The 19,058-nt window shown below is 48.2% G+C and overlaps 1 protein-coding gene across 17 annotated transcripts in view, besides 7 other annotated features; it reads left to right on the top strand.

Annotated features, from left to right (window-relative positions):
• Positions 1-19,058, top strand: part of ZNF600 (zinc finger protein 600) — a 69,482-nt gene that overhangs the window by 37,173 nt on the left and 13,251 nt on the right. For 2 of the 17 annotated variants that reach the window (XM_047438299.1, XM_047438288.1), the window contains exons 1-3: positions 9,682-9,878; positions 15,009-15,156; positions 17,566-17,647. The exons of 1 other annotated variant lie outside the window; for it this stretch is intronic. Coding sequence is in view for 14 of the 16 variants with exons in the window: in XM_047438288.1 (XP_047294244.1) it covers positions 17,585-17,647 (63 nt within the window). In the remaining 2 variants the exon portion in view is untranslated. Of the gene's footprint in view, positions 1-9,681; positions 9,879-12,474; positions 13,172-15,008; positions 15,157-15,417; positions 15,893-16,680; positions 17,252-17,565; positions 17,648-19,058 lie in introns of those variants that run through there. 14 more of the 17 variants (NM_198457.5, NM_001321867.3, XM_047438296.1 and 11 more) reach the window with 13 other exon arrangements.
• Positions 5,112-5,641: an enhancer, noted in NCBI's record as "H3K27ac-H3K4me1 hESC enhancer chr19:53294085-53294614 (GRCh37/hg19 assembly coordinates)". NCBI's record gives its function as "activates a minimal SCP1, AML or CMV promoter by ChIP-STARR-seq in naive H9 embryonic stem cells {active_cell/tissue: H9 hESC(naive)}" and the evidence as "EXISTENCE:reporter gene assay evidence [ECO:0000049][PMID:30033119]".
• Positions 6,173-6,703: an enhancer, noted in NCBI's record as "OCT4-NANOG-H3K27ac hESC enhancer chr19:53293023-53293553 (GRCh37/hg19 assembly coordinates)". NCBI's record gives its function as "activates a minimal SCP1, AML or CMV promoter by ChIP-STARR-seq in naive H9 embryonic stem cells {active_cell/tissue: H9 hESC(naive)}" and the evidence as "EXISTENCE:reporter gene assay evidence [ECO:0000049][PMID:30033119]".
• Positions 9,006-9,863: an enhancer, noted in NCBI's record as "H3K27ac-H3K4me1 hESC enhancer chr19:53289863-53290720 (GRCh37/hg19 assembly coordinates)". NCBI's record gives its function as "activates a minimal SCP1, AML or CMV promoter by ChIP-STARR-seq in naive H9 embryonic stem cells {active_cell/tissue: H9 hESC(naive)}" and the evidence as "EXISTENCE:reporter gene assay evidence [ECO:0000049][PMID:30033119]".
• Positions 9,524-9,673: a silencer, noted in NCBI's record as "silent region_10999". NCBI's record gives its function as "represses an Ori minimal core promoter by ATAC-STARR-seq in GM12878 lymphoblastoid cells {active_cell/tissue: GM12878}" and the evidence as "EXISTENCE:reporter gene assay evidence [ECO:0000049][PMID:35858748]".
• Positions 9,864-10,722: an enhancer, noted in NCBI's record as "H3K27ac-H3K4me1 hESC enhancer chr19:53289004-53289862 (GRCh37/hg19 assembly coordinates)". NCBI's record gives its function as "activates a minimal SCP1, AML or CMV promoter by ChIP-STARR-seq in naive H9 embryonic stem cells {active_cell/tissue: H9 hESC(naive)}" and the evidence as "EXISTENCE:reporter gene assay evidence [ECO:0000049][PMID:30033119]".
• Positions 12,421-12,597: a silencer, noted in NCBI's record as "fragment chr19:53287129-53287305 (GRCh37/hg19 assembly coordinates)". NCBI's record gives its function as "represses an EF-1alpha promoter that drives an FKBP-Casp9 reporter gene in an ReSE screen in phorbol 12-myristate 13-acetate-treated (for megakaryocytic differentiation) K562 erythroleukemia cells {active_cell/tissue: K562(+PMA)}" and the evidence as "EXISTENCE:reporter gene assay evidence [ECO:0000049][PMID:32094911]".
• Positions 14,318-14,498: a silencer, noted in NCBI's record as "fragment chr19:53285228-53285408 (GRCh37/hg19 assembly coordinates)". NCBI's record gives its function as "represses an EF-1alpha promoter that drives an FKBP-Casp9 reporter gene in an ReSE screen in K562 erythroleukemia cells {active_cell/tissue: K562}" and the evidence as "EXISTENCE:reporter gene assay evidence [ECO:0000049][PMID:32094911]".

The following is a 19,058-nucleotide window of genomic DNA, read 5'->3' as shown; positions in this document are numbered from 1 at the left end:
ATAAATTGTGTATTTAGTGAAAGGCTGATCAAAGACTCAAAGAATGTGATCATTTGTTATCTACCTGTGACCCGGAAGCCCCCCAATTCCAGTTATTCCACCTTTCCAGACCGGAACAATGTATATGTTTTATGTATTGATTGCTGTCTCGTGTCCATAAAATGTGTGAAAGTAAACTGCAGCCTCAACACCTTGGGCACACATCGTCAGGACCTCCTGAGGTTCGTGTTAATTGGCCTTAGATTCCCCCTGTCCCCAGACCCAGGACGCATGTGTTTCCTCTTTTGTCATTTTTATTGGAGATGGGTCTCATTCTGTTGCCCAGGCATGAAAGCAGTGACAGCATCAGAGCTCACTGCAGCTTCAACCTCCTGGGTTCAAGGGATCCTCCCATTTCAGCCTCCAAAGTCACTGGGACCACAGCCATGCGCCATTGCACCCGGCAAATTTTTGTGTTCCTAGTAGAGATGGGCTTTCACCATGTTGCCCAAGCTGGTCTCGAACTCCAGGGCTGAGGCGATCCAGCTGCATCGGCCTCCCAAAGTGCTGGGATTACAGTCATGAGCCACCAAGCCCGGCTTGTTTCTTAATTAAAAAAAAAAAAAAAAGCCAGGTGCTGTGGCTCACACCTGTAATCCCAGCACTTTGGGAGGCCACAACAGGCGGATCACCAGAGGCAAGGTATTTGAGAACAGCCTGGGTAACATGGTGAATCCTCGTCTTGACTAAAATATAGAAATTAGCTTGGTTTGGTGGCGAGTGCCTGTAATCCCAGCTACTCAGGAGGCTGAGGCAGGAGAATCGCTTGAATCCAGGAGGCGGACATTGCAATGAGCTGAGATGGCGCACCTACACTCCAGCTGGGCTACAGGGTGAGACTCCATCTCAACAAAATAAAAATAAAGTAAATAACTGCTTCTCAAATAAGCTTTGGTATAATCTTACGAAGTCACATCATTGTTTTCCAACTATGATATGTATTGAAAAATTTCTTTGACCCCACATTTTATTATATATATATATATTTTTTTAACCACTGTAAATTGTTTTTCTCTGAAATTTATTGTGTTTAGTTTACATTGAGGACTGCATGCTTTCTAGTCTGTGTCATATATTGGAAACATTTTCTGGTACCTGATAAATGATTTTAGCTTGTTTCAATGTGTACTTGATAAAGATATCAAGGAACTTTTTCTTTATGCTAACATCAAAATTTAGTTCATGTAGCCTATTATTCCATTTTCTTTATGTCATCTGACTAAATAGTGAGCTGTGAGCTTTTAAGTAAATGTTCCCTTCAAGTTCCTCTGGTCCATAATATTCTTTGCAGATGTTGAAGGATGGGCTGGATTGACCTGGAACCTTGTTCCAGCAGAGCCCATATGTTCATGACGAAAACATTTGCTCAGATCTCATTTGTACCGCTGCTTCTTTTTCAATGTTTTAAACACTTATAGCTATGTGTTCAAAATTGTGTTTATTTTGAACGTATTACAATCATTTTTCTCAGAAAATAATTATGTTTAGGATTCATGCCATCAAAACCTTAGACATTGAAAGAGACATTTCATTTGCTCAGGTATATAGAATGGTCCTGAAACTTTTTTCTTCCTTTTTTGAGACAAGAGTGTCACTCTGTCACCCATACTTGAGTGCAGGGACACAATCTTGGCTCACTGCAACCTCCATCTCCCAGGCCCAGTGATCCACCCCAGTCCGCCTCCCAAATAGCTGAGACCACAGATGCACACCACCAGACCTGGCTAATTTTTTATACTTTTGGTAGAGACGCGGTTTCACCACGTCTCCCACGTTGGTTTCAAATTCCTGGGCTCAATGGTCTACCCACTTCAGCCTCCCAAAGTGCTGGGATTACAGGGTGAGCCGCCATGCCCGGCCCATCCTGGAATTTTCTAGAGAAGGAAGACCAACACAGCCTATTGGCGCTTCCAGACCATCACGTGGGAATCAGCCACACCTCCTTCTGACTCAACTCGGAGCTTCTCAGGATAACTTGGTGAAGTGTCTCCTGCTCGTAACAACAGTGACTCAACCAGTAATGTACAGGTGAGGAATAAGACCAGAAAAGCTCAGTCAGAGTGACGCTGACCCCTGAAATACTTTGCCAAATAAGTGTGTGGCTTTTCCTGTAGGAGAGGGTGATGCTCAGGTGTGATTTGAATTTTAAATGGATTCCTGTCCTCCAAAAATGTAAAAAAACCCACAAATACCGGAATGGAAAAACGGGATTAGACTCAAATCATCTTGAACTTATTCTTGTCTCTGTCCACACCCACTGCTTTTCCTTATCTCATCTCAGGGCTTTAACCCACCTACCCATGTCCCCTGCAGGCCTCTCCACTGAGCTCTACAATCCTGTGTCCAGTTGTCTCCTCAGCTCTCTGCTGGGACATCAAACAGGCATCTCCACCTTCACGTGTCCATAAGTGACTTCCTAAACCCCCAAACACATTCCCTTGCAGTCCTACACGTCTCAGATGAGGGTGACTGTGTACTTCTGGGGACTTAGCCAAACTTGACAGCATGTTTTTGAAATATGGGAGATAAATTCCTTTATTTGTAAATGTTGTAATTTATAATATAAAGAGAAAGTTACACGTATACATGAAATGACTGAGAAGATACATCACTTTTGTGTGTGTGTGTGTGTGTGTGTGTGTGTGTGTGTGTGTGTGTGTGTGTGTGTGGCAGAGTTTGGCTCTTCTCACCCAGGCTGGAGTTCAGTGGCTCAATCTTGATTCACTGCAACCTCCTTCTTCCGGGTTCAAGCGATGCTCCTACCTCTGCCCCCCGAGTAGCTGGGATCACAGTGGACTTTCAAAATGCTTTTGGGTTGTGGGAGAAAAATGTTTGAAGTCCTTAACCCTATGGATCTCTGTCCCCAGGACCTCTCTGACCTCATCTCCTACCTGTGCCCTTCTCTCTTCCACTGCTCCAGCCACACGGGCTGCTTTCCTTTGTTGGGAGGGTGATGTTGCTCCTGTCCCAGGGCCTTCACTTGAGCTGTCCCTCTGCCTGGGACTCTCTAGCCCCTCAGCTGCAAGTGATAAGCAGCCTTTCTGTCCCATTTGACATTGCAGCTTTGAACTGAGAAAATCTCAGACAGATCTCAGTTAATTTAGAAAGTGTATTTTGTGAAGGTTGAGGACGCATCTGTGACACAGCCTCAGGAAGTCCTGATGACATGTGCCCAAGGTGGACGGGGCACAGCTTAATTTTATACATTACATGGAGACGTGAGACATCAATCAGTATACGTAAGAAGTACATTTTGAGGTAATAGTTCAAAATGCACTGAGTATAGCAAACCATCAAGGCGTACATTACAGTCAACTCAGCATTGACCTGAGGATGAGTTGATTTAACATTGAGTTCGAGCATTAATTGACGTTAAAGTGTTTAAGAGGATTGGGCCGGGCCAGGTGCAGTGGCTCACGCCTGTAATCCCAGCACTTTGGGAGGCCGAGGTGGGTGGATCACGAGGTCAGGAGATCGAGACCATCCTGGCAAACACGGTGAAACCCTGTCTCTACTAACAATACAAAAAAAAAATTAGTTGGGCGTGGCGGTGGGCACCTGTAGTCCCAGCTACTCGGGAGGCTGAGGCAGGAGAATGGCATGAAGCTGGGAGGCGGAGCTTGCAGTGAGCCGAGATCCTAACACTGCACTCCAGCCTGGGCGACAGAGTGAAACTCCGTCTCAAAAATAAAATAAATAAATAAATAAATAAAAAGAGGATTGAGCCGGGCATGGTGGCTCACATACATTGGTTTGTTCTGGAAAGGCGGGACAACTTTAAACAAAGCCAGAAGGACTTGAAGCAGCGAGGGTGCTTCCAGGTCATAGATAAATGAGGCACAAATGGTTGCAATCTTTTGAGTTTCTTTTTTGTATTTTTTGAGATGAAGTCTCGTTTTGTCGCCCAGGCTGGAGTGCAGTGGCACGATCTCAGCTCACTGCATCAGCCTCCCACAGTGCTGGGATTACAGGCATGAACCACTGTGCTGGGTCCTTCTTTTGAGTTTCTGATTAGCCTTTTGGATGAGGCACTCAGACATGCATCTATGTCAGGGAGCAGAGGGGTGACTTTGAATAGAAGGGGAGTCTGGTTCCCTAAGCAGTTCCCAGCTTGACTTTTCCTTTTTGCTTAGTGATTTGGGGCTCAAAGATTTATTTCCTTTCACACAGCCCAACGCTCACCCTACCTCTGGTCCACATTGCCTGTTCTGTGTGATTATTTTTGCTCCTTTGCCATCCACTGTCTGGATCCTGGTGAGAAGAAGGCCCCAAGGGGAGGGCAGAGCCTGAACGTGGGGCTGTGCTGGGCTCACGCCCTCTGAGTGGAGCTCAACCCTGGCTTCACATTAGAGTCTAGAGGCATTTTTCAAATAGAGCTTTTGTGCCGCTTTAGCAGGGATTCTTATTCTGACGGGATGGAACCCACCCTCAGTAATACCTGCAGTGGCGCAGGTGCTTGTCATCTGTGTGCAGCATTGAGCATCGAAGCTCTGAGTCCTCCATTTCTGAGGGCTGAGCTCAGCCTGTGATCCACAGAGAGGTGAGGGGCTGTCCTCTGGATGGGGTTTGATCAGGGATGGGTCTGTGCCCTGAAGGGGAGATCAGTCCAGCCCAGCTCCCCACTGCTGCCTCGTGGGGGAGGCTCCTCCAGGAGGGGGGCGAGATCTGAAGACCAGGGTCAAACATACACTTGTAGGTCTTCCTGTGGGACTTTCTTATCTCTGCATGATCTCTGGTGCAGTGGGCAGCAAAGGACCATCTTTCCAGAGGGTGACGTCTCCCTTGTTTGTGTGTTTTTGTCACAGGAAGGGAGTGAGTCATTTCTGACATGAAGTCTTTTTTTTTTCACATTCAGGATTGATTTCTAAGGACTCATGTTGCATGAGGAAGCCACTCAGAAGAGGAAAGGAAAGGAGCCAGGCATGGCTCTTCCTCAGGTGAAGTGATATTCCTCTTTGGATTAATCTGTCTCTTTCATTTCTGAAATGCCAGGTATTGTAGCAGCCAGTCTTTTCTGAGTCTGAAGCATCTTGTCTGACACATTCACTTGCACTCACCCATGCCTGCCCTCAGTTCCTCTCAGCTGCTCTGAGATTCCATCTCCTGTGAGCCAGTGACATGAACTTGGGAAGAGGCTCCACTGGGCATGGTCCTGGGAAGGGCTCACACCCAGACATCAATGGACATGGGGTGTGGGCCCCGTGGTGTCAGTGCTGCTGCACAGCCTGCATTGTTCAGGGGCCATGTCTGGATGTCAGCTCTTTGTGGATGAGATCAGAGAAACCACATATGAAACATATACTTTAATATGCACAGATATCTGGTAAATTCTGGAAAAGGAGACCTATAAGGGGAGATAGTTTGTATCTGATTTGGTAGTGCATTTGAAGTCACACTAGTAGATCAACATGTCTCTGACTTCAAACTTTTTTTTTTAAAGAGACAGCATGTTGGTCTGGGTGTGGTGGCTCACACTTGTAATCCCAGCATTTTGGGAGTCCAAGGTGGGTGGATCACTTGAGGCCAGGGGTTTGAGACCAGCCTGTCCCACATGGTGAAACCTCATCTCTACTAAAAATATGAGTTGGGAGTGATGGCTCATGCCTGTAATCTCAGCTACTCAGGAGGCTGAGGCAGGAGAGTCACTTGAATCCGGGAAGTCGAGGTTACAGTAAGCCGAGATTGTGCCACTGCACTCCAGGCTGGGCAACAGAGCAAGACTCCATCTCAAAAAAAAAAAAAAAAAAAAAAGGAGAGAGAGAGAGATAATGTTGCTCTGTGGCTTAGTTTTAGAGTACAAAGGCACAATTTAGAGTTTACAGCAGCCTGAAACTCCTAGGTTCAAGTAATTCCGACTTTAGACTCCCAAAGAGCTTGAAAGATAGGCATGGGTCACCACATGTGGGTAATTGTTTTATTTATTTATTTATTTATTTTGAAATGGAGTCTCGCTCTGTTGCCCAAGCTGAAGTGCAGTGATGCGATCTCAACTCACTGCAACCTCTGCCTCCTGGGTTCAAGCGATTCTTCTGCCTCAGCCATCCAAGTAGCTGGGGCTAAAGGTGTGCACCACCACACCTGCAAAATTTTTGTATTTTTAGTAGAGATAGGGTTTCACCATGTTGGCCAGGCTGTTCTCAAACTCCTGACCTCATGATCTGCCCTTCTTGGCCTCCTAAAGTGCTGGAATTAAAGGCGTGGGGCACATGTATGTCAGGCCTCTGAGCCCAGGCCAGGCCATCGCATCCCCTGTGACTTGCACGTATACGCCCAGATGGCCTGAAGTAACTAAAGAATCACAAAAGAAGTGAATATGCCCTGCCCCACCTTAACTGATGACATTCCACCACAAAAGAAGTGTAAATGGCCGGTCCTTGCCTTAAGTGATGACATTACCTTGTGAAATTCCTTCTCCTGGCTCATCCTGGCTCAAAAAGCTCCCCCACTGAGCACCTTGTGACCCCCACTCCTACCCACCAGGGAACAAACCCCCTTTGACTGTAGTTTTCCTTTACCTACCCAAATCTTATAAAACGGCCCCACCCCTATCTCCCTTCACTGACTCTCTTTTTGGACTCAGCCCGCCTGCACCCAGGTGAAATAAACAGCCATGTTGCTCAAACAAAGGCTGTTTGGTGGTCTCTTCACACGAATGCTCATTAAAGTGTACGGCCGTATTTTTCATATTTTTTTTAATTTTGTTGTCCAGGCTGGAGTACAGTGCTGCAATCATACCTCACCATAGCCTTGATCTCCTGGCCTCAAGGGATCCTCCCATGTTGGCCTCCCAAATTGCTGGCATTCCAGGTGTGAGACAGCCTCCCTGGCTGGACTCTGTACTTTTTTGTGATAGAGTCTCGCTCCATTGCCCAGGATGGATTGCATTGGTGAAGAGGTGGGTTGCCCCTCCACACCTGTGGGCATTTCTCGTCAGGTGGAACGAGACACTTTGAAAAGAAAGAGACACAGAGACAAAGTATAGAAGAGAAAGTTACATGTATACATAAAATGAGTGAGAAAATACATTTCCAAAATTCTTTTGAGTTGAGATGTGAGAGAAAAATGTTTCAAGACCTCATCCCTAGATATCTGAGTCCCAGGAGCTCTGTGACATCAACTCCTGCCTCTGTCCTCCTCCCTACCTCTACTGTAACCATGCAGGCTTCTTTTCTTTTTCTGGGACTCAGGTTGCTCCTTTCTCAGGGCCTTCACCTGGGCTGTCCCTCTGCCTAGGACTCTCTGGCCACTCAGCTGCAAGTGACAAGCAGCCTTTCTTCCCTAAGTCTTTGTTCTGACATCACTTTTTCTATGAAAACTTTTGTGTTCTCCCACAGTCCCCCATTTGACATGACAGCCCCACCTTCACCCCCATCTCTGGCCCATGTTGCCTGTTCTGTGTGATCCTTTTTGCTCCTTCGCTGTTCACTGGATCCTGGTGGGAACAAGTCCCCAAGCGGAGAGCAGAGCCAGAAGGTGGGGCTCTGCGGGGCTGGTGCCCTGAGTGGAGCTCAAACTTGGCTTCACATTAGGGTTTTCAGGCATTTTGCAAATATAGCTTCTATGCTGTTTTATCAGAGATTGCTATTATCACAGTATGGGACCCACCCTCAATAATACCTACAATGGTGCAGGTGATTCTCATCTGTCTCCAGCATTGAACATCAAGGCAGTTTCCTCCATGTTGAGAGCTGAGATCAGCCTGTGATCCACAGGGAGGTGAGGGGGCTGTGCTCTGCATGGGGTTTGGTTAGGGCCAGATCTGTGCCCTGAAGATCTGTGTCCTGCTGCAGCGTGTGTGTGGACTTTTGCAGGAGGGAGCAAGACCTCAAAACAGGTCAAAATTGCCCTTGTAGGTCTTCCTGTGGCACCTTCTTATCTCCACATAATCTCTGGTGCAGTGGGCAGCAGAGAACCATCTTTATCCCTGGTGAGGTCTCCCCTGTGTGTGTGTTTTGTCACAGGAAAGGAGGGAGTGATTTCTAAAAATTAAATCTCGTATTTTTTTTTACATACAGGATTGATTTTCCAAAGACTCATGTTACGTGAGGAAGACACCAAGAGGAGCAAAGAAAAGGAGCCAGGGATGGCTCTTCCTCAGGTGGAGTAATATTCCTCGGTGGATTCTTCTGTCTCTTTCCTTTCTGAAATGCCAGGTATTGTAGTAGCCAGTCTTCTGTGAGTCTGAAGCATCCTGCCTCACACGTTTGCTCACACTAACCCATGCCTTTTCTCAGTCCTTGTCATCTTCACTTAAATTCCATCTTCTATAACCTAGTGACATGAGCTTGGGAAGAGGCTGCACTGGGCATGGTCCTGGGAAGGGCTCACACCAGAGATGGATGGAGATGGGGTGTGGACCCCAAGGTGTCAGTGATATTGGGCAGCAGGGATTGTTCAGGGGCCACATCTGGATGCACATTTAGCTCTTTGTGGATCAGATCAGAGAATCTATGTATGAAAGTCATACATTAATGTATGCACTGGTATCTGTGTACTGGTATCTGGTAAATTCTGGAAAAGGAGACAAACTAGGGGAGATATTTCTTTTTCTTTTTCTTTTTCTTTTTTTTTTTTGAGACGTAGCCTCGCTCTGTCGCCCAGGCTGGAGTGCAGTGGCACGATCTTGGCTCACTGCACGCTCCGCCTCCCGGGTTCACTCCATTCTCCTGTCTCAGCCTCCCTAGTAGCTGGGATTACAGGCACCCACCACCACGCTTGGCTAATTTTTTTGTATTTTTTAGTAGAGATGGGGTTTCACTGTGTTAGCCAGGATGGTCTCGATCTCCTGACCTCATGATCTGCCCGCCTCAGCCTCCCAAAGTGCTGAGATTACAGGTGTGAGCCAGCGCGCCCGGTCTTGTTTTTGTTTGGGTTAGGCGGGCTCCTGTAGTTCCAGTTACTCGAAAGGCTGAGGCAGGAGAAGGGCGTGAACCCGGGAGGCGGAGCTTGCAGTGAGCCAAAATCGTGCCACTGCACTCCAGCCTGGGCGACACAGCGAGACTCCGTCTCAAAAAAAAAAAAAAAAAAAAAAAGTAAAAGAGCGAGAGAGAGATCAGGAAGAGGACCCTGCAGTTAGGGGGTGTTACTTTGTCGCCCAGGATGGCCTGGACCCCCAGGTTCAGGGATTCTCCCGCCGCTGCTTCCTGAGTAGCTGGGACCTCAGGCTTCCGCCTCGTGCCCGCATCCCTGCTGTGTTTAGGCAGCAGGTGGTGACCTCACTCCTCCCTGGCCTGAGCTCTCCGTCCCGCATCCCAGGCGGAGGCCCTAGGGAACACTTTGAAGCTGAGCACGGGGTGGACCCTCCCTCCTGAGTGAATGGAGAATAGAAAGGGAGAGGATTTCTGTTCTGTTCTGTGGGCCATCAGCATGAAATCGTATGTTCCGCCCTGGCAGGGCTTTGCATTTCACATTCTAGTTTGCATTCCCGTTCCAGATAATTCCAGGGCTTTTGAATCATGCCTCAGCCTTCCTGGCCGCTGTCGCCTCCAAAAACTCGAAAAACAGAGGCGCTGAGTGCGAGGCTGAGAAGCACAGGTCCCGCCCCGGGCCCTCCCTCTGCCGGTTCTAAAGGGCAAGGTCTCTCCGCCTGGGGCCCCGCCTCTACCCCGCCCAGGTCCAGCCAACCTGCCCCGGCCTGGCTTCAGTCCTGGGCGCGCACAAACCCGGAAGCGGATCGCGTGGAGTGAAGGTCCTACCACGGCGCGTGAGTTTTGCTCTGCCTTGGATTAAGTCTGCACTTCCCAGGTCCCCGGCGCTTCTGCCCCTGGGACGTGGGATCCCCACGGACCTGGAAATTCTCGCCTGTCTTCCCTTCACCCAGAGCAAATTGAGACGTCCCGGTAAGAGTCTGGAAGTTGCTTGCTTTTGGGTTTGAAGTCGCTCGGAGGCTGGTCCCGTCCCCGGTCTTTCTGCTATAGGGCAATGTATACACTTCCTATCGCGTATTTTTCCTGCTCAAAACATTTTTCTGACTATTCCCGCCCCGTGCTTTTTAAAGTCCTCACCCGCGAGGTGGATTCCAGCCCTGGGCGCCTCCCAGCCTCGCCCCAGTTGGCACCTGGAGCGCGGCGCCCCGGCCCCAGCCCCGGGGAGGCTGCGTCCTCTGCCTGGTCCTGGGATCCTGCAGGTCCCACCTTTGTCTTAGGGTGCCGTCGCCCACCACGTCCCTCCTGGTGCCGGGCCCTGCTGCTCCCCAAGTCTTCGCTTCCCCTGAGCCAGGGTTGGGGTGGGTCGCAGGGGCTTGTCCTATGATACCAGGTGTTCTTTCCTGTCCAGCTCCACCCCCTGGAAAATGCGCTTCTACGGGATGCAGGCGTCTTACTCCAAACCCGCCTGTGATTACTCCAAACCCGCCTGGGCCAAAGGGATCAGGAGATAGAGAGAGGGACTGAGAGAGCAGTAGAAAACCAGAGACAGAGAAAAGAAGAATGAGAAAGGCCCATAACAGATGGCAAAGTAGAGGATGGGTTAGGAATTTGCCAAGAGACAGCAAAAGTGAAAGAAAAAAAACTAAGAAAGCAGGAGGAGAAAAGCAACTGGAGAAATGTAGAGAAAAGCTAGATGTACAGAAAGATGAAGGACAGCAAGGTAGGGAGAGGGGCAGCAAAGAGGGAGGCTCACCAGAGTGAGGGAGAGGAGGAGGGATTTGGAGCCAGGGCAGACAGAGCAGAGTGGTGCTGGTGGCAAGAACAGATGGAGAACCACAGCAGGGAGGACACCTGGGGATCTGAGGTGCTGGAGAGTGGGGACAGAGGGGTATAACAGGGAAGAGAGAATTTAATAGGGAGAGCAGAGGAGACGGAGAGATAAGAGAAGAGGCTGTAATATATAGACATTGAGGAAGATTGAAAGATTGGGGAGAAAGAACAACAAGAGGTTAAATAAGGACCGGGCGCTGTGGGTCATGCCTGTAATCCCAGCATTTTGGGAGGCTGAGGCGGGTGGATCACCTGAGGTCCGGAGTTCGAGACCAGCCTGATCAACAGGGAGAAACCCCGTCTCTATTAAAAATATAAAATTAGCTGGGAGCGGTTGCACATGCCTGTAATCCCAGCTACTAGGGAGGCTGAGGCAGGAGAAACCTTTGAACCTGGGAGGCAGAGGTTGCGGTGAGAGCCAAGATCGCACCGGTGCACTCCAGCCTGCACAACAAGAGTGAAACTCCATCTCAAAAAGGAAAAAAAAAAAAGAGGTTAAATAAGCTGTGAGAATGGAGCAGAAGAGGTGGAAGAGAAGTAATAGAGGGAAGAAGGGGATAAACAGCAGGAGAGGAGAGGGGTACAAAATGAGGAGCACAATCCCAGGGAAAAAGAAAAGAAAACAAGAGCTAGAGAGAGAAGGGGAGAATGAGAGATATGCACAGAATTAGGGAGGGAAGCACAGTAATGAAGAAAGAGGGGCTGGGCGCAGTGGCTCATGCCTGTAATCTCAGCACTTTAGGAGACTGAGGCAAAGGGATTGCTTGAGTCTAGGAGTTCAAGACCAGCCTGGGCAAAATAGTGAGGCTCCCCCCATCTCTGTCAAAAAAGGAAAAAAAAAATTTAACCGGGTGTGATAGTGTGCACCTGCAGTTTCAGCTTCTCTAGGCCGAAGCAGGAGGATCACTTGAGCCCAGGAGCTCCAGGCTGCTGTGAGCAGAGATCATGCCACTGTACTCCAGCCTGGTCAAAAGAGCAAGACCCTGTCTCAAAAGAAAAAAAGGGTGGGGGACTTTGGGTACAGATAAGTGGGTGAGTTCATTGGATATGATTAGTTGTGACATGTTGACTTCTGTGTATATCATCTAATACCTTGTTTAAATTATACAGATGAGATTTAGAATTTTAAAACTCCTGTCTATGAGACATGTACATTCTATAAATTTTGGTATCAGAGGTTAGCTTCTACTTGGAATCCCAGTTATTCAGTTGTGAGTCAGTCTCTTCCCTTTTCCCAGGGTGGGGTAGGAAGTGGGACAGTGATGTGGGGGAAAAAAAATCACTTTCTCTTATTACATAATACTTTTAATTTATTAATTAGTTTATATTTTGAGACAGGGTCTGGCTCTGTCACCCAGGCTGGATTACAATAGCGTTCTCTACTCTAACTGCAGCCTCGACCTCCTAGGCTCAAGCGATCCTCCTCCCTCAGTCTCTCTAGTAGCTGAGACCACAGGTGTGAGACACCAAGCCCAGCTAGTTGTTTTTTTTCTTTGTTTGTTTGTTTTTTTGTAGAAACAGGGTTTCAGTATGTTTCCCAGGCTGGTCTCAAGATCCTGGGCTCAAAGTTTCCTCCTGTCTTGGCCTTGCAAAGTACTGGGATTACAGGGATGAGCCGCCATGCCGGGCCTACCTACTAATTATTATTATTATTTTTTTTTGAGGTGGAGTTTTGCTCTTTTTGCCCAAGCTGGAGTGCACTGGCACGATCTTGGCTAATGACTATCTCTGCCTTTAGGGTTGAAGCGATTCTCTTGTGATACTTCCCCCGAGTAGCTGGGATTACTGGCATGCGCCACCACGCCCTGCTAATTTTGGATTAGGAGGCTGAGGCAGAAGAATCACTTGAACCCGGGAGGCAGAGGTTGTGGTGAGCTGAGATCGCACCATTGGACTTCAGCGTGGGCAACAAGAGCGAAACTCCGTCTAAAAAACAAACAAACAAACAAAAAACAAAAAAGAATGGAGCAAAACAGGAGAGGGGCATAAAATGAGCAGAAGTCCAGGGGGAAATGCAGAAAAGAAACAGATGGAGAGAGAAGGTGAGAAAGAGCTATGTATAGAATGCCGAAGGGAGGCCAGGTGCAGTGGCTCACGCTTGTAATCCCAGCACTTTGGGAGGCCGAGGCGGGCGGATCACTAGGTCAGGAGATTGAGACCGTCCTGGCTAACACGGTGAAACCCTGTCTCTACTAAGAAAACTAAAAATTAGCCGGGCGTGGTGGCGGGCGCCTGTAGTCCCGGCTGCTCCGGAGGCTGAGGCAGGAGAATGACATGAACCCGGGAGGCGGAGCTTGCAGTGAGCCGAGATCGCGCCACTGCCCTCCAGCCTGGGCGACAGAGCGAGACTCGGTCTCAAAACAAACAAACAAAAAAAGGAATGATGGAGGGGAAAAGTAATGAAGACGAAGGGGGACCCTGGGTGCAGATGAGTGGTGAGTTGATTGGATGTGATGATGAAGTGATGACATGTTGTTTTCTCTGTTTATAATGTAACAAATTTAAAATTAGTTTAAATTATACAGATGAGAATGAGAGTTGCCAAACTCCTGTGTCTAAGTGTGGTGCATTTTATAATGATGGCGTCAGAGGCAGCTTCCCTCTGCAACCCCTCTTCAGCCAGAGGACAGTGACTTGACTCATTCCTTGTGGATCACCCTCTTCCCTTTTCATGGATGGGGTGGGGAGTGAGGGAGAGAAGTAGAGTAAGAAGTGACTGAGTCTCTGTTACTATATGGAACGTGATGAAAGGAATATTAAAAGTGCTTTTGTTCTCTTTTTGTAATTTTTTTTTCTAGTTCCTCTCTTCATTAGTTTAGTTGGTTTTTTGTGTGATTATTTATTTATTTATTTTTTATTTTTGAGATGGAGTCTTTCTCTGTCATGCAGGCTGGAGTGCAGTGGAGCGATCTTTACTCACTGCAACCTCCGGCTCTCGGGTTCAAGCAGTGCTCTGTCTCAGCCTCCCGAGCAGCTGGGATTACAGCCAGCCGCCACCACACCTGTCCTGTCGATTTTTGTATTTTTAGTAGAGACAGGGTTTCACCATCTTGGCCAGGCTGGTCTTGAATTCATGACCTCGTAATCCACCCGCCTCGGCCTCCCGAAGTGTTGGGATTACAGGCGTGAGCCATCACACTGGGCCTCATTAGTTGTTATTTTTTAATTTTACTTTAAATTTACTTATTTTTGCTGTTGTCGGTTTTTTTTTTTTGGATGCAGTTTTGCTCTTGTTGCCCAGGCTGAAGTGCAATGGCGTGATGTTGGCTCATCACAAACTTCGCCTCTGGGGTTCAAGTGATTCTCCTGCCTCAGCCTCCTGAGTAGTTATGATTACAGGCACGCACCACCATGGCCGGCTAATTTTGTATTTTCAGTAGAAACGGGGTTTCTCCATCTTGGTCAGGCTGGTCTTGAACTCCTGACCTCAGGTGATCCTCCCGCCTCAGCTTCCCAAGGTGCTGTGATTACAGGCATGAGCTGCTGCGTCCAGCCTTTAATTTTTATTTTTTTGAGACACTCTTACTGCTGTCCAGGCTGGAGTGCAGTGGCAGGATCACAGCTCAGTGCAGCGGCAACCTCCTGGGCTCAAGTGATTTTCCCACCTCAGCCTCCGGAGTAGCTGGGACCACAGGCACGCCCCACGAGGCCTGGCTAATGTTTAGATATATATATTTATTTATTGAGACTCTCTGTCACCCAGGCTGGAGTGCAGTGGCACGATCTCGTCTCACTGCAAACTCCGCCTCCCGGGGTCAAGCGATTCTCCTGCCTCAGCATCCTGAATAGCTGGGATTACAGGCATACACCCCTACGCCTGGCTAATTTGTGTATTTTTAGTAGAGATGGGATGTTGCCATATTGGCCAGGTTGGTCTCGAGCTCCTGGCCTTGTGATCCACCCACTTCGGCCTCCCAAAGTGTTGAGATTACAGGTGTGAGCCACCTTGCCTGACCGCTGTTTTTTTTTTTTTTAAGATAGAGTGTCACCCTATCACCTAGGCTGGAATGCAGTGGAACAATCTTGGATCACTGCAACCTCTGCCTCCCAGGCTCAAGTGATCTTGCGTCAGCCTCCCAGGTAGCTGGGACCGCAGATGCATGCCATGATGCCTGGCTAATTTTTTGTATTTTTGGTAGAGATGGGGTTTATATGTTGCCCATGTTGGTCTCAAACTTCTCGGCTCCAGTGATCGGCCTGCCTCAACTACCCAAAGTGCTGGGATTACAAGGGTGAGCCACCAATCCTGGCTGGTCTTGGAATTTTCTAGAGGAGGAAGACCAAGGCAGCCTATTGGGCCTTCCAGGCAATCACATGGGAATCAGCCACACGTCCTTCCTCCTCACCTCAGAACATCTCAGAATAACTTGGTGAAATGTCTCCCACTGTGAGCCTCAGTGAGCCCACCTGTAACATAGAGGTGAGGAATAAGACCGGAAAAGCTCAGTCAGTGACACTGACCCCTGAAATGACTGACAAAATACAGTGTGTGACTTTTCTTCTGGGAGAGGGTAGTGCTCAGTTTTAACTCGAATTTTAAATGAATTCCAGTTCTCCAAATATTAAAAAAAAAAAAAAAGAAGCACAAGATGAACAAAAACGGGGTAATTAGACTCAAGTCACCTTGAACCTTATCATCTCACAGCTTTAACCCACCTACATGACTCCATGTCCCCTGCAGGCCTCGCCCCTGAGCTCTACAATCCTGTGTCCAGTTGTCTCCTCAGCTGTCTCCTGGGTCATCAAACAGGCATCCCCACCTTCAGGTGTCCACGAGTGGCTTTCTAAACCCCCAAACACATTTCCTTGCAGTCTGCACATCTCAGATGAGGGTGACTACGTACTTCCGGAAACGGCCGAACTTGACAGCATGTATTTTAAATTTGTGAAATAAATTACTTTATTTGTAAGTGTTGTAATTTATAATATAAAGAGAAACTTAGATGTATACGTGAAAAGAGTGAGAAGATACATCACTTCCAATTTTTGTTTGTTTGTTTGTTTTTTTGAGAGGAATTTTCACTCTTGTGGCTGAGGCTGGAGTGCAATGCCATGATATCAGCTCACTGCAACCTCTGACTCCTGGGATCAAGGGATTCTCCTTCCTCAGACTCCCGAGTAGCTGGGATCACAGTCGACTTTCAAAATTCTTTAAGGTTGTGGGAGAAACATGTTTGAAGACATGTTCCTATGGGTCTGTGCCCCCAGGACCTCTCTGACCTCATCTCCTACCTGTGCCCTCCTCTCTTCCACTGTTCCAGCCCCACTGGTCGCTTTCCTCTTCCTGGGGCTGAGGTTGCTCCTGTCTCAGGGCCCTCACTTGAGCTGTCCCTCTCTCTAGGACTCTCTTCCCCTCAGCTGCAAGTGACAAGCAGCCTTTCTTTCCTAGGTCCTTGTTCTGATATCATCTTCTCCGGGTTTCCTTTGTGATCTCCCACAGCCCTCATTTGACACTGCAGCTGTGAAACCAGAAAATCTTACAGAGATCTCAGTTAATTTAGAAAGTTTATTTTGCCCAGGGTGGTCGGCGCAGAGTTTAATTTTATACATTTTATGGAGACATGAGACATCAATCAATATATGTAAGAAGTACATTGATTTGGTCTGGGAAGGTGGGAGAACTTTAAACAAAGGCAGGAAGACTTGAAGCACGGAGTGGGCTTCCAGGTCACAGAGAAATGTGGCACAAACGGTTGCAATCTTTTGAGTTTCCTTTTTTTTGAGATGAAGTCTCCTTTTGTCACCCAGGCTGGAGTGCAGTGGCACAGTCTTGGCTCACTGCAACCTCTGCCTCCTGGGTTCAAGTGATTCTCCTGCCTGAGCTTCCCAAGTAGATGCCCGGATCAGTTTTGTATTTTTAGTAGACATGTGGTTTCACCATGTTGGCTGGCTGGTGTCCACCTCTTGACCCCAAGTGATCTACCTGTGTAATCCCACAGTGCTGGGATTACAGTCCTGAGCCACTGTGCTGGGTCCTTCTTTTGAGTTTCTGATTAGTCTTTCGAAGGAGGCACTCAGACATGCATCTATGTCAGGGAGCAGAGGGGTGACTTTGAATAGAAGGGGAGTCTGGCTCACTAAGCAGTTCCCAGCTTGACTTCTCCCTTTTGCTTAGTGAGTTGGGGCTCGAAGATTTATTTCCTTTCACACAGCCCATCATTCACCCCACCTCTGGTCCACGTTGCCTGTTCTGTGTGATTATTTTTGTGCCTTTGTCATCCACTCTCTGGATGCTGGTGAGAACAAGGCCCCAAGGGGAGGGCAGAGCCAGAACGTGGGGCTGTGCTGGGCTCGCCCCCTCTGAGTGGAGCTCAACCCTGGCTTCACATTAGAGTCTAGAGGCATTTTTCAAATAGAGCTTTTGTGCTGCTTTAGCAGGGATTCTTATTCTGATGGGATGGAACCCACCCTCAGTAATACCTGCAGTGGCGCAGGTGCTTGTCATCTGTGTGCAGCATTGAGCATCTTTGTCCTCCATTTCTGAGGGCTGAGCTCAGCCTGTGATCCACAGAGAGGTGAGGGGCTGTCCTCTGGATGGGGATTGATGAAGGATGGGTTTGTGCCCTGAAGGGGAGATCAGTCCAGCCCAGCTCCCCACTGCTGCCTAGTGTGTGGGGGCTTCTCCAGGAGGGGAGTGAGATCTGAAGACCGGGGTCAAACACACTTATAGGTCGTCCTGTGGGACTTTCTTATCTCTGCATGATCTCTGGTGCAGTGGGCGGTGGGGGACTTCTTTCTGCTGGGTGAGGTCTCCCCTGTTCATGTGGTTTTGTCACAGGATGGGAGTGAGTCATTTCTAACAAGAAGTCTCATTTTTTTTCACATACAGGATTGATTCCTAAAGACTCATGTTATGTGAAGAAGCAGCTCAGAAGAGGAAAGGAAAGGAGCCAGGCATGGCTCTTCCTCAGGTGAAGTGATATTCCTCTGTGGATTAATCTGTCTCTTTCCTTTCTGAAATGCCAGGTATTGTAGCAGCCAGTCTTTTCTGAGTTTGAAGAATTTTGCCTGACACGTTCACTCACACTCAGCCATGCCTGCCCTTAGTTCCTCTCAGCTGCTCCGAGATTCCATCTCCTGTGACCCAGTGATGTGAACTTGGGAAGAAGCTCCACTGGGCATGGTCCTGGGAAGGGCTCACACCTAGACATGGATAAACATGGGGTGTGGGCCCATTGATGTCAGTGCTGCTGGGCAGGCTGGATTGTTCAGGGGCCACATCTGGATGTCAGCTCTTTGTGGACCAGATCAGAGAAACTACATATGAAATACATATGTTAGTGTACACAGATATCTAGTAAATTCTGGAAAAGGAGACAAATAAGGGGAGGTATTTTGTATCTGATTTGGTAATGCATTTGAAGCCACACTAGTAGATCAAGATGTCTGTGATTCCAAACTTTTTTTTTTTTTAAGAGACAGGATGTTGGTTCAGGTGCTCACACCTGTAATACCAGCAATTTGTGAGGCCAAGGCAGGAAGACCACTTGAGGTCAAGAGTTCGAGACCAGCCTGGCCAACATGGTGAAACCCCACCTCTACTAAAAGTACAAAAATTAGCTTGGGGTGGTGGTGCATGCCTGTAATCTCATCTACTCAGGAGGCTGAGGCAGGATAATCACTTAAACCCAGGACGTGGAGGTTACTGTATGCCGAAATTATGCCACTGCACTCCAGCCTGGGAGACAGAGTGAGACTCTGTCTCAAAAGAAAAGAGAGAGAGAGGGAGAAGGTGTCGCTCTGTGGCTTAGTTCTGGAGTACAATGGTACAATTCAGAGTTTACAGCAGCCTCAAACTCCTGAGCTCAACTAATCCCTGCTTTAGCCTCCCAAAGAGCCTGAGTGATAGGCATGGGTCACCGTATGTATGTATATATGTATCTCTCTATCTATTTATTTACTTATTTTAAGATGGAGTCTCGCTCAGTCCCCAAAGGTGGAGTGCAATGGAATGATCTCGGCTCACTGCAACCTCCATCTCCCAGTTTCAAGCAATTCTTCTGCCTCAGCCTCCTGAGTTGCTGGGACTTCAGGATGCACCACCACACCCAGCTAATTTTTGTATTTTTATTTGAGACGGGGTTTCACCATGTTGGTTAGGCTGGTCTCGAACTCCTGACCTCATGATCTGCCTGTCTTGGACTCCCAAAGTGCTGGGATTAAAGGTGTGCACCACTGTGTCCGGCCTTATTTTTTATATCGTATTTTTATTTTGTTGTCCAGGCTGGAGTGCAGTGGTGCAATCATAGCTCACTATAGCCTTGATATCCTGGCCTCCAGTGATCCTCCCACCTTGGCCTCCCAAATTGCTGGCATTCCAGA

This window comes from Homo sapiens, chromosome 19, assembly GCF_000001405.40.
Source record: "Homo sapiens chromosome 19, GRCh38.p14 Primary Assembly".
In the NCBI taxonomy this organism is placed as follows: domain Eukaryota; kingdom Metazoa; phylum Chordata; class Mammalia; order Primates; family Hominidae; genus Homo; species Homo sapiens.
This window is presented reverse-complemented; position numbering and strand designations above follow the sequence as displayed.